This window comes from Homo sapiens, chromosome 4, assembly GCF_000001405.40.
Source record: "Homo sapiens chromosome 4, GRCh38.p14 Primary Assembly".
Lineage (NCBI taxonomy): Eukaryota > Metazoa > Chordata > Mammalia > Primates > Hominidae > Homo > Homo sapiens.
This window is the reverse complement of record NC_000004.12, coordinates 106,525,565-106,539,745: the sequence shown is the minus strand read 5'-3', so window position 1 is coordinate 106,539,745 and position 14,181 is coordinate 106,525,565. Positions and strand designations below refer to the sequence as shown.

The 14,181-nt window shown below is 37.4% G+C and overlaps 1 long non-coding RNA gene across 2 annotated transcripts in view; it reads right to left on the bottom strand.

Annotated features, from left to right (window-relative positions):
* LOC105377356 (uncharacterized) overlaps positions 1-13,903 on the bottom strand; it is a 288,441-nt gene extending 274,538 nt beyond the window's left edge. For both annotated transcript variants that reach the window (XR_939051.1, XR_939053.3), the window contains exon 1: positions 13,811-13,903. This is a non-coding gene — a long non-coding RNA (uncharacterized LOC105377356). The remainder of the gene's footprint in view (positions 1-13,810) is intronic.
* Positions 13,904-14,181: the final 278 nt, after the last annotated feature.

The following is a 14,181-nucleotide window of genomic DNA, read 5'->3' as shown; positions in this document are numbered from 1 at the left end:
TGTACCTGAAAGTGATGGGGAGAATGGAACCAAGTAGGAAAACACTCTGCATGATATTATCCAGGAGAACTTCCCCAACTTAGCAAGGCAGGCCAACATTCAAATTCAGGAAATACAGAGAATGCCACAAAGATACTCCTCAAGAAGAGCAACTCCAAGACACATAATTATCAGATTCACCAAAGTTGAAATGAAGGAAACAATGTTAAGGGCAGCCAGAGAGAAAGACTGGGTTACTCACAAAGGGAAGCCCATCAGACTAACAGCTGATCTCTCAGCAGAAACTCTACAAGCCAGATGAGAGTGGGGGCCAATATTCAACATTCTTAAAGAAAAGAATTTAACCCAGAATTTCATATCCAGCCAAACTAAGCTTCATAAGTGAAGGAGAAATAAAATCCTTTACAGACAAGCAAATGCTGAGAGATTGTGTCACCATCAGGCCTGCCCTTCAAGAGGTCCTAAAGGAAGCACTAAACATGGAAAGGAACAACCAGTACCAGCCACTACAAAAACATGCCAAATTGTAAAGACCATCGATGCTAGGAAGAAACTGCATCAACTAACAAGCAAAATAACCAGCTAACATCATAATGACAGGATGAAATTCACACATAACAATATTAACCTTAAATGTAAATGGGTTAAATGCTCTAATTAAAAGACACAGACTGACAAGTTGGATAAAGAGTCAAGACCCATCAGTGTGCTGTATTCAGGAGACCCATCTCACGTGCAGAGACACACATAGGCTCAAAATAAAGGGATGGAGGAAGATCTGCCAAGCAAATGGAAAAAAAAAAAAAAAAAGGAGAGTTTGCAATCCTAGTCTCTGATAAAACAGACTTTAAACCAACGAAGATCAAAGGAGACAAAGAAGGCCATTACATAATGGTAAAGGGATCAATTCAACAAGAAGAGCTAACTATCCTAAATATATATGCACCCAATACAGGAACACCCAGATTCACAAAGCAAGGCCTTAGAAACACACAAAGAGACTTAGACTCCCACACAATAATAATGGGAAACTTTAACAACCCACTGTCAACATTAGACAGATCAACAAGACAGAAAGTGAACAAGGATATTCAGGAATTGAACTCAGCTCTGCACCAAGAGGACCTAATAGACATCTACAGACCTCTCCACCCCAAATCACGAGAATATACATTCTTCTCAGTACCACATTGCACTTATTCCAAAACTGACCACATACTTGGAAGTAAAGCACTCCTCAGTAAATGTAAAAGAACAGAAATTATAACAAACTGTCTCTCAGATCACAGTGCAATCAAACTAGAACTCAGGATTAAGAAACTCACTCAAAACCGCTCAACTACATGGAAACTGAACAACCTGCTCCTGAATGACTACTGGGTACATAACGAAATGAAGGCAGAAATAAAGATGTTCTTTGAAACCAACAAGAACAAAGACACAACATACCAGAATCTCTGGGACACATTTCAAGCAGTGTGTAGAGGGAAATTTATAGCACTAAATGCCCACAAGAGAAAGCAGGAAAGATCTAAAATTGACACCCTAACATCACAATTAAAAGAACTAGAGAAGCAAGAGCAAACACATTCAAAAGCTAGCAGAAGGCAAGAAATAACTAAGATCAGAGCAGAACTGAAGGAGATAGAGACACAAAAAACCCTTCAAAAAATCAGTGAATCCCGGAGCTGGTTTTTAAAAAGATCAACAAAATTGATAGATCGCTGGACAGACTAATAAAGAAGAAAAGAGAGAAGAATCAAATAGACGCAATAAAAAATGATAAAGGGGATATCACCACCAATTCCACAGACATACAAACTACTATCAGAGAATTCTATAAACACCTCTACGCAAATAAGCAAGAAAATCTAGAAGAAATGGATAAATTACTGGACACATACACTCTCCCAAGACAAAACCAGGAAGAAGTTGAATCCCTGAATAGACCAATAATAGGCTCTGAAATTGAGGCAATAATTAAGAGCCTACCAACCAAAAGAAGTCCAGGAGCAGACAGATTCACAGCTGAATTCTACCAGAGGTACAAGGAGGAGCTGGTACCATTCCTTCTGAAACTATTCCAATCAATAGAAAAAGAGGGAATCCTCCCGAATTCATTTTATGAGGCCAGCATCATCCTGATACCAAAGCCTGGCAGAGACACAACATAAAAAAAGAATTTTAGACCAATATCCCTGATAAACATCGATGCAAAAATCCTCAATAAAATACTGGCAAACCAAATCCAGCAGCACATCAAAAAGCTCATCCACCATGATCAAGTGGGCTTCATCCCTGGGATGCAAGGCTGGTTCAACATATGCAAATCAATAAATGGAATCAGGCATATAAACAGAACCAAAGACAAAAACCACATGATTATCTCAATAGATGCAGAAAAGGCCTTTGGCAAAATTCAACAGCCCTTCATGCTAAAAACTCTCAATAAATTAGGTATTGAAGGGAGATATCTCAAAATAATAAGAGCTATGACAAACCCACAGCCAATATCACACTGAATGGGCAAAACTGCAAGCATTCCCTTTGAAAACTGGCACAAGACAGGGATGCCTTCTCTCACCACTCCTATTCAACATAGTGTTGGAAGTTCTAGCCAGGGCAATCAGGCAGGAGAAAGAAATAAAGGGTATTCGATTAGGAAAAGAGGAAGTCAAATTGTCCCTGTTTGCAAGTGACATGATTGTATATTTAGAAAACCCCATTGTCTCAGCCCAAAATCTCCTTAAGCTGATAAGCAACTTCAGCAAAGTCTCAGGATACAAAATCAATGTGCAAAAATCACAAGCATTCCTATATGCCAATAACAGACAAACAGAGAGCCAAATCATCAGGGAACTCCCATTCACAATTGCTTCAAAGAGAATAAAATACCTAGGAATCCAACTTACAAGGGATGTGAAGGACCTCTTCAAGGAGAACTACAAAGCACTGCTCAATGAAGTAAAAGAGGACATAAACAAATGGAAGAACATTCCATGCTCATGGATTGGAAGACTCAATATCGTGAAAATGGCCATACTGCCCAAGGTAATTTATAGATTCAATGCCATCCCCATCAAGCTACCAATGACTTTCTTCACAGAATTGGAAAAAACTACTTTCAAGTTCATATGGAACCAAAAAAGGGCCCACATTGCCAAGACAATCCTAAGCAAAAAGAACAAAGCTGGAGGCATCACACTACCTGACTTCAAACTATACTACAAGGCTATAGTAACCAAAACAGCATGGTACTGGTACCAAAACAGAGATATAGACCAATGGAACAGAACAGAGCCCTCAGAAATAATACCACACATCTACAACCATCTGATCTTTGACAAACTTGACAAAAACAAGAAATGGGGAAAGGATTCCCTATTTAATAAATGGTCCTGGGAAAACTGGTTAGCCATATGTGGAAAGCTGAAACTGGATACCTTCCTTACACCTTATACAAAAATTAATTCAAGATGGATTAAATACTTAAATATTAGACCTAAAACCATAAAAACCCTAGAAGAAAACCTACGCAATACCATTCAGGACATAGGCATGAGCAAGGACTTCATGTCTAACACACCAAAAGCAATGGCAACAGAAGCCAAAATTGACTAATGGGATCTAATTAAACTAAAGAGCTTCTGCACAGCAAAAGAAACTACCATCAGGGTGAACACGCAACCTACAGAATGGGAGAAAATTTTTGCAATCTACTCATCCTACAAAGGGCTAATATCCAGAATCTACAATGAACTCAAACAAACTTACAAGAAAAAAATAACCCCATCAAAAAGTGGGCGAAGGACATAAACAGACAGTTCTCAAAAGAAGACATTTATGCAGCCAACAGACACGTGAAAAAATGCTCATCATCACTGGCCATCAGAGAAATGCAAATCAAAACCACAATGAGATACCATCTCACACCAGTTAGAATGGCAATCATTAAAAAGTCAGGAAACAACAGGTGCTGGAGAGGATGTGGAGAAATAGGAACACTTTTACACTGTTGGTGGGACTGTAAACTAGTTCAACCATTGTGGAAGACAGTGTGGCGATTCCTCAAGGATCTAGAACTAGAATTACCATTTGACCCAGCCATCCCATTACTGGGTATATACCCAAAGGATTATAAATCATGCTGCTATGAAGACACATGCACACATATGTTTATTGAGGCACTATTCACAATAGCAAAGACTTGGAACCAACCCAAATGTCCATCAACGATAGACTGGATTAAGAAAATGTGGCACATATACACCATGGAATACTATGCAGCCATAAAAAAGGATGAGTTCATGTCCTTTGTAGGGACATGGATGAAGCTGGAAACCATCATTCTCAGCAAACTATCTCAAGGACAAAAAACCAAACACCGCATGTTCTCACTCATAGGTGGGAATTGAACAATGAGAACACTGGGACACAGGAAGGGGAACATCACACAACAGGGCCTGTTGTGGGGTGGGGGTCTGGGGGATGGATAGCATTAGGAGATATACCTAATGTAAACGAAGAGTTAATGGGTGCAGCACACCAACATGGCACATGCATACATATATAACAAACCTGCACGTTGTGCACATGTACCCTAGAACTTAAAGTATAATAAAAAATAAATAAATAAATAAATAAAACAAATCACTTTAATCTAGTTGAGGTGTACCTATTTTCATTTGTCCTTACTTTTAGGTTTAGTTATTTCAAGGGTATTAAGTGAAAGCCTGTGTTGTTTACCATAGCCTGTTTTTGGCAAAGACTACACTCCACTTTGTTTCTCAAAAGTCCATAAAATTGTAGTATTTTCTGTTTATTTTTTTAGCATATTAGCAACTGCTTTCTTCATTTCCCTCTCTGAACTTGTACACTTCTAGAGCCAAAAAATGCTTTGATAAAAAATTGTATGCAGAATATAGGTATTTACTATTCTGCAGTTCTTTTTTCTTTGGGATCCTGACCCATTTATTCTCGATTTCCTTGCTAGCCCTCAACTCCAACTGATTTCTCTTCAGCCCAGTGAGACAAACATAAAATCTATACCACATCTTTTTTGGGGGTTCCATGCCCTCAAGTAATAGTTGACAAGTAGCCCAAAGGGAAAAGTGGTCACAAATGTAGAATTCACCTCAATGCTGTTCCTTCCTTTCTGATATCTTCGTAGTTCAACTCATTTGCCTTAATTGTAATCTAATACCTTATAAACTACTGTTTGTTTTGCTTTGTTTATCCACATTCTACATCTGCCCTCTGCTACAGGTTTAACTTGATCCAGTTATCCTATCATAACTGAAAAGCCTCTGCAGACTATTCCAATATATTTCATCCACTACAGTTGAAAGAAACGTCATGGAAGTTATTTAACTTTAGGATATACTTTAAAGAATAAAAAGGGGGCCAGGCATGGCGGCTTATGCTTGTAATCTCAGCACTGTGGGAGGCCAAGGCGGGCAGATCACCTAAGGTCGGGAGTTCGAGACCAGCCTGACCAACATGGTGAAACCCTATCTCTACTAAAAAATACAAAAATTAGCCAGGCGTAGTGGCAGGCGCCTGTAATCCCAGCTACTCGGGAGGTTGAGGCAGGAGAATCGCTTGAGTCCAGGAAGCAGAGGTTACAGTGAGCAGAGGTCGTACCATTGCACTCCAGCCTGGGCACAGGGCAAGACTCTGTCTCAGAAAAAAAAAAAAAAAAAAAAGAATAAAAATGGAAAAAAATTTTGAACTCACTTGAATGTTACATTAAACATCTTACATGTGTATTTATTATTATTATTATTACTTATTTTTAGAGAGAAAGTCTCACTCTGTCACCCAGGCTGGAGTGCAGTGGCACAATCTCAGCTCACTGCAACCTCCGACCCTAAGGTTCAAACCATTCTTATACCTCAGCCTATCAATTAGCTGGGATTACAGGGATGTACCACCACAGCTGGCTAATTTTTAAAATATTTTTAGTAGAGAGACAGTTGCGCCATGTTGGCCAGGCTTATCTCAAACTTCTGGCCTCAACTGATCCACTCACCTCGACCTTCCAAAGTGTTATGATTATGGGTGTGAGCCACCGTGCCCGGTCTTACATGCATAATATTTTATGGAAGTGTGGCAGGCCAATTCTCCCTGACAATCACACAGAAAGGTCTGTATGACAATCACACAGACAGGCCTGCATAGCACTTAAGTTACACAGACAAATTTCCACAGAGCTGCCTTAACATTGAGCAAATAGTTAAGCCTAGGGAAATCAGTGCCCAGACATCAAAGCTAGAAATGAAACATATGGTCAGTAGAAATCTTGCATGGGCTTCTCCCTAACCTGGAGCAAACCAAAATAATAGAGACTTGTCTTTCATTCCTGGTGCCAGGACCCATATCTGAGACAAGTCAAGGTAACAGAGGCAGCTGTTTGAATAGATTCATTCGAGAGTCTAAGGCAGCTCTCCAGACTAAGCTGTAAAAAAGATAAGATAGAAATAATCACCCTGGTACCACAGTAGACAGGCCTTGGAAGTACTGGGGCCCTTTTAATTGGACTTAGCAAGCATTTTTGCCTCTGATCTTCTAGTTGAAACAAAATTAGTTACCAACAAACTTAGGCGAATGTTATACGGCACCTAGGCACGTAACCCCAACCTATATAAGCACTAAGAAAATTGTAACATTTTGACTTGGTCTGGTGGAATTATCTCTGGCCTTCTCCCTGTATCCAGTTACAGCAATAAATTCCCTTCTTCCCTAGTTTGTCTGTTTCTCGTTATTGGGCCTTGAGAAAACACAGCCTGACCCGGCTTGGTTCCGGAAACAGAAGTATTTTCTACTTTAATTTCGCACATTCAGTTTTGCTTCAGTCTTAATCTACTAACAATTGAATGTGTATTTATTCTTTTTAACCTTACCTAAATATTGTTATTTGCAAGCTTTTTACCTAATTACTCTTCTAAGAGTTAATTAAAATCTCCCTTTACAACATATTATTTTCTTGTATTTTCTTCGTATTAAAATAACGCTTGTCCTTTAAAATCAGCTCTGATTAGAGAGCTTCATTTTTATTTTCCACTTTTCAGAGGATTAGCAACAACATTCATGTGAAAACACTGATGCACAGGTAATAAGTTGCTTCAGGTTCTATTTTGCAGACTTAAAAAGAGGAAAAAACTATTTCATGCTTTACACATTTAATTTGTCTCATTATACTTTAAGTTTTATGTTATTTCACAGCTGGTAAAAAAATAAAATAAATCTTCATTGAGTTTGTATAGTACAATTACCAAGAAAGGAGGAACTTTTCCTGTTTGACTCAATGCTAAATTGCTCCATGTCTAGAACAGTGCCTGGAAGATAGTAGTAACCCATAAGAGTTTATGTTAAGAATAACATATTGCTCTTTCAATTACTATTTTCAACTCTTTTCTTGTCTAATTTCTACTACTTCTGCCTAATATCTATTGAACACTTAGTATATGCCAGAAACTTTCACTTAACTTTATTACATTTAATTATTACAATAAATTTTATAAGTGCATCACCCACATTTTAATAACTAGAATGTTAGAAGATTTATATGAATTGCCTAAGAGCATACAGCTAATAAGTAAGAGAAATGAGATTTCATCATCAAAACCCATTGGTGATCTCTGAAATTCAAATAAAATTGATTGAATCTCCCTCTCATAAGCAAGGATCTCTGCATCCCTCACAATCTGGAGACATAAGTTAATGCAAACAGCACTAACATGTTTTTTCTAATGATGTTTGATCCTGGTTTAGTTCTGGTGTCTACAGAAGGTGTTCCTGTTAGATATGTGTTTCACCATCTCATCTGAGAAAAGGAACACAGCCCCTTTGTTTTTTCTAAAATTTAATTGATACAAGGCATGTGTGCAGCAGACTTCAATGAAATTTCAGGGTAAGGTAAAGAAGTCTATATTACAGCTCTTAACAGCAGAAAACATCACATGTATTAGACCACTGTACTTAAAAAGCTCTGGAGATCTTTTCCCCAATTTGGGCTCCAGAATTTCACTATGTAATTCAACTTTCTCTTACTTTCTCTTTTCTCTCATTTCTGCTGTCCTCTCAATTACCAAATTCCTGTTTGTTACATGCTTGTTTGTTATTATATGAAGATGTACTTATTCTTTGTGCCTACCAACCCATATCCTAAGGATCTTACTATCTACAGCCACTCAAGCTAAGACAGTGCTCTTCCTGAGAGGAATTCTAAAATCGGCTATTATGATTTAGTGTATGGTTTGCCTGTGTATATTTTTAATAGTTAAATCAGGTCATTGGGAACTCTAAATGCACTGTCCTTATAATCATAATGTATTTCTAATTTATTGAATTGCTTTGCTTGTACCCACTTCTTGAAGAAATATTTTCTTTTGAAGGGTTAAGGATTATATTTTCTCAGTTGTTATATTATCTACTCTCCATTCACTTGCCTATTAGAGGGAATTCTCATATCACTCTACATACTAGTAAAAGGCAAAAGATTTATACCATCTCAAGAGAAACCAGAGTATCACTCTACATACTAGTTCAACTGAAATTTTTCTCTCTCAACTTTGGTAAACAAGCACAAGATTTAGTGGTACAATCATCACTACTCCTGTGAGTTCTTCCAAAGTGCAGTTCATTTTTTCAACTGTTACTTCATCTCCTAATGTTTTCATGGTTTCAACATTTGGCCTACCAATTTCTTTTCAGGATAATCAATCAAAACACATTTCCTGTCTTAAACCACAGACCTATAAGTAGAAGTTTCCAATAATAAATCTAAGAAAAATTGCATACTTATCTATAAATTGTCATGACAAACTGCTGTAATAAGCTAAAACAGCACAGATGTTTTTCCATTAGGTTGGTACAATATTTATTTTGAAATGATTTTGTAATCTTGTTGCTTTTCTGTTGTAATTTCTGTAAGACAGATGTGATATTTTAGCAAAATGATTCTAACATGACTTCTTTAAGAAAATATATGCCTCTATGTGAGCTTTTAAACCCTACTTATAAATGCTTATCTCTAACCCTTTATAATAAACTTTAATTTTTCATTTAAATTATTTTTCAAATTTTTGTTTTGAGTTTTTTTGCTGATTAAGTTAACTTTTACTTTACAAATACCTGTTTCCACTCATTCCCAATTGGGTCCCTTTTCAAAATACATGTTGTCATGTTGAAATCACCTCATTGGTAATAGATTTCAAAACAAAATTGGCAATGAGGTCTCAAGATGATCAAGCCTTGCCTGAAATGTTAGTTTTCTCACAAAATTCAATTTGGTCCTGTTCCCTCTTACTTTTTTAAATTCTGCATTACTAGGCTTGCATCTAATCTGGGGTCTGAACACCTACCTTCAAATGCCTAGACTAGCAAAAAGGAAACTTAAGTTACCTTAAAATATATTTTCATAGAAAGTTAATTAAAAGGTAACTTTAAAGTGATGTAGACTGAGGAAGAAAGAAGTGACTAAGTATGGTCTGTTTGCCTTCAGACTGACAGATAAGTGATTCAAGTTTCTTTCTGACTCTTCCTTTGGTTCATTTCTTGGTTCACTACTATAGTTTCTTCCCCAAGTCTATTTCTTCCTCCAATGGGCGCCTTTGTGTTTTGCAACTTGGGTTCAAGCTAAGCAATTGGGTAAAGAGGGGCTTTTTTTGGTTAAAAGTAAGAAAGGAAGACTACTCTTTTTAGCCATACTGGAGAGTGTCTAGATTTATTCTACTTCCTGAAACAACTAAAAAATAGAAAAGCTATGAAACAGTCATCGTTAACAATTTGAACAATAGTCAGGAAAGATGAGTAATCCCTGAGAGATGAGGAAAAAATTAGATGTGCCACACAATTAGCCCAGTGTATTATCTGGAGAAAGTTTCCAGACTGAAGTGCAGTGAGGAGAAACTGAGGTGGAATCAGCAGTCTCTCTGGGTGGAGCTAAAGCTGGAAGTTCAAGGAGGCCAAGATAGCTGTGGTTGACAGGGCAGAGGAGCGGACAAAGACATTACAAGAAAACTACAGACCAATATGTCTCATGAACATTGATGCAAAAATCCTCAGCAAAATATTAGCAAGAATGTATAGAAAGAATTATAAAGTATGCCTGAGTGGGATTTATTCCAGATATGTAAGGTTGACTCAACATTTGAAAATGAAGTAATATAATCAATCACATGAACAGGTTAAAGAAAAATATGATGCAATCATATCAGTGGGTCCAGAGAAACCATTTTGCAAAATCCAAAACCATTTATGGCTTAAAAAAAAAAAAATTTCAGCAAATTAAAAATAGAGAATAATTTCCTCAACTTGATTTAAAAAAAAAATAAAGAACCCAAAGCTAACTTTATATATATATATATTTATTATTATTGTTATTTGAGATGGCATCTCCCTGTGACACTCAGGCTGGAGTGCAATGGCACAAGCTCAGCTTACTGCAACCTCCACCTCCCGAGTTCAAGTAATTCTCCTGCCCCAGCCTCCCAAGTAGCTGGGGCTACAGGCGCACACCATCACGTCCGGCTAATTTTTGTATTTTTAGTAGAGATGTGGTTTCACCATATTTGCCAGGCTGCTCTCAAACTCCTGACCTCAAGTGATCCACCTGCCTCGGCCTCCCAAAGTGCTGGGATTACAGGAGTGAGCCACCGCGCCCTGCCACTTTATATTTAATAGTGATAAACTTGAAGCTTTCCTGCTAAGATCAGGAACATGACAAGAATGTCCCCGATTACCACTCCTTTTCACATATTATACTGGAAGTCCTAGCTAATGCAAGAAGACAGAAAAAAAAAGGCATACAAACTGGAAGTGAAGAGAAACTGTCTTTGTGCACAGATGACATGATTGTAGAGAAAATCTGAACAACAAAACTTCTGGGAACTAATAAGTGATTTCATAGCAAGGTTTCAGGATATAAAGTTAATATGTAAAAGCCAATCACATTTTATATACCAGTAATGAAAAAGTGAAATTTGAGATTAAAAACTCATTACTATTTAAATTAGCACCAAAAAAAATGAGCTCCTCAGATAAATCTACCAAAGTATGTGCAAGATCTACAAAAGGAAAACTACAAAACTCTGATGAAAGGAATCAAAAAGAAAAAAGAAATAAATTGAAAAATATGCCATGTTGAAGGATAGGAAGACTCAGTACTATCAAGATGTCAGTTTAATAGATTTAATACAATCCCAATCAAAATCCCAACAAGTTGTTTTATGGATATGAGTGAACTAATTTTATTATCTATAGGGACAGGCAAGAGATTCAACTCAATATTGAAGGAGAAGACAAAGTCCAAAGACTGATACTACCTGACTTCAAGACTTACAATATAGTGGCAGTAATTACCACAGTGTGATATTGGTGAAAAAAAAAACAGTTCAGTGGAACATAACAGAGAGCCCAGAAATAGACCCACATAAATAGAGTCAACTGATCTTTGACAAAGGAGCAAAGGCAATACAATGGAGAAGAGATAACCTTTTCAACAAATGGCAATGCAACAACTGGTTATCCACATGCAAAAAAAATAAATCTAGACACAGATCTTACACCCTTCAGAAAAATGAACTCTAAATGGCTCATAGACCTAAATGTGAAATGTGAAGCTTTAAAACTTCTAGAAGACACCATAGAAGAAAACCTAGATGAACTTGGGTAGGGTGATGGTTTTTTATATACAACACCAAAGGTTCAATTTATGAAAGAAGTAATTGATAAACAGGACTTCGTTAATATTTAAAAATTTCTGCTCTGTAAAAGACAAGAGAATATGAAGACAAGTCACAGACTATGAAAAAATATTTGCAAGAGACACATCTGATAAAGGACTGTTAAAATATGCAAAGAACTTCTAAACTTCATCAATAAAAAAATGAACAATCTGATTAAAGATTGGGCAAAAGACCTAAACAGCCACCCCACAAGAATTATATATGGCAAATAAGCATATAAAAGGACATTCAACATAATATGTCATCAGGGAAATGCAAATCAAAACAATGAGATGACTACATACTTATTATAATGCTCAAAATCTAAAACATTGACAACACGAAATGCTGACAAAGATGCGGAGGAACAGAAACTTCTTCACCACTTATGCTGGTGGTAATGCAAAAGAGTACAGCCAATCTGTTTGGAAGACAGTTTGGCAGTTTCTTACAAAATTAAACATACTTTTACCATGTGATTCAGCATTCACACTCCTTGGTGTTTATTTATATAAATCAAAATCTGCACTTACAAAAATCTACAGATGGATGTTTATAGCAGCTTTATTCATAATTGTCAAAACTTGGAAGCCACAAAGATGTTACTTTTTGAGCAAACAGATAAACTGTGGCACATCCATCCAGACAGTGAAATATTATTCAGTACCATAAAAAGACATGAAGGAGAAACCCTAAATGCATATTACTAAGTGAAAGAAGCCAATCGGAAAAGGCTAAGTACTTCATGACTCCAACTATATGACATTCAGGAAAAGGCAAAACTTTGTGCCATGGAGGCAGTAAGAAGAACAGTGATCGCCAAGGGTAAGAGGAAGGGAAAAACGAATAGGAAGAGCACAGAGGATTTTTCGGGTAGTGTAACTGAACATCCACATGCCAAACATTTGATGAATCTATACACAGAACTTATACCTTTCACAAAAATTATTTCTAAATAGATTATAGACTAGATGTAAAACACAAAACTTCATATTACACTATAATGGTAGATAAATGTCATTATTCTTTTTGGACTTTCATCCAAACTCCTATGATGTATAATACCAAGAGTGAAACCTAATGTAAACTGTAAACTTTGGATAATAATAATATGCCCACGTAAGTTCGTCAATTTTACCAAAGGTGCCACTACCATGTGGGATCCAAAACAATCTCAATCAAAATTTCAGCATGTTTTTTGTGGTAGAAATTGATATGCCGATTCTAAAATTCATATGGAATATAAATGAGGAGATTCAAAACAACTTTCAAAAACAGCAGATTCAGAAGACTTATGGTACTTGACTTCAAAACTTATTATCAAACTATGGCAAAAAAGACAGTGTGGTATTGGCATCAAGATAGACAAACAATTATAGAACAGCATAGAGAATCTAAAAATAGACCCACAGTTGTTTTTCTGCAAAGACATAAAGTAAATTTAATATAGTCTTTTCATCAATTAATACTGGAATAATTATATATGCATGTTTTTTAAAAAAACAGCTTCTATTAATATATTGCATTATATACAAAAATGGATACAAATTATAGATATAAGCATAAGATAAAAAATGAAATTTCTAGTGAAAGCATAGGAAAAAAATCTTTGTAGCCTTGGTTAGACAATAATTTTTTGTAACAGCTTTTTTTTTTTTTTTTTTTGAGACAGAGTCTCACTCTGTCATCCAGGCTGTAGTACAGTGGTGTGATCTCAGCTTACCGCAACCTCCGCCTCCCAGGTTCAAGCGATTCTCCTGCCTCAGCCTCCCAAGTAGCTGGGATTACAGGCATCTGCCACTACAACCAGCTAATTTTTATACTTTTAGTAGAGATGGGATTTCACCATGTTGGCCATGCTGGTCTTGAACTCCTGACCTCAGGTGATCTGCCCATCCTGGCCTCCCAAAGTTCCGGGATTACAGGTGTGAGCCACTGTGCCCAGACAACAGCTTTATTAAGATATAATTTACATATAAATTTGGAAAAGGATATTGTATTAGTCACTGTTCTCTAGAGGGATAGGACTAATAGGATAGATGTATATATGAAAGAAAGTTTAATAAGGAGTATTGACTCACACCATCACAACGTGAAGTCTCACAATAGTGAGAGGTGACAGCGTGCTGACAGTCCTCAGAGCCCTTGCTCGCTCTCAGCGCCTCCTCTGCCTGGGCTCTCACTTTGGCGGCACTTGAGGAGCCCTTCAGCCCACCGCTGCACTGTGGGAACCCCTTTCTGGGCTGGCCAAGGCCACAGCCTGCTCTGTCAGCTTGCAGGGAGGTATGGAGGGAGAGGAGCCAACGGGAACTGGGGCTGCGCACGGCGCTTGCGGGCCAGCTGGAGTTCCGGGTGGGCGTGGGCTTGGCGGCCCCGCACTCGGAGCAGCCGGAGGGCCCTGCCGGCCCGGGCAATGAGAGGGTTAGCACCCGGGCCAGCGGCTGCAGAGGGT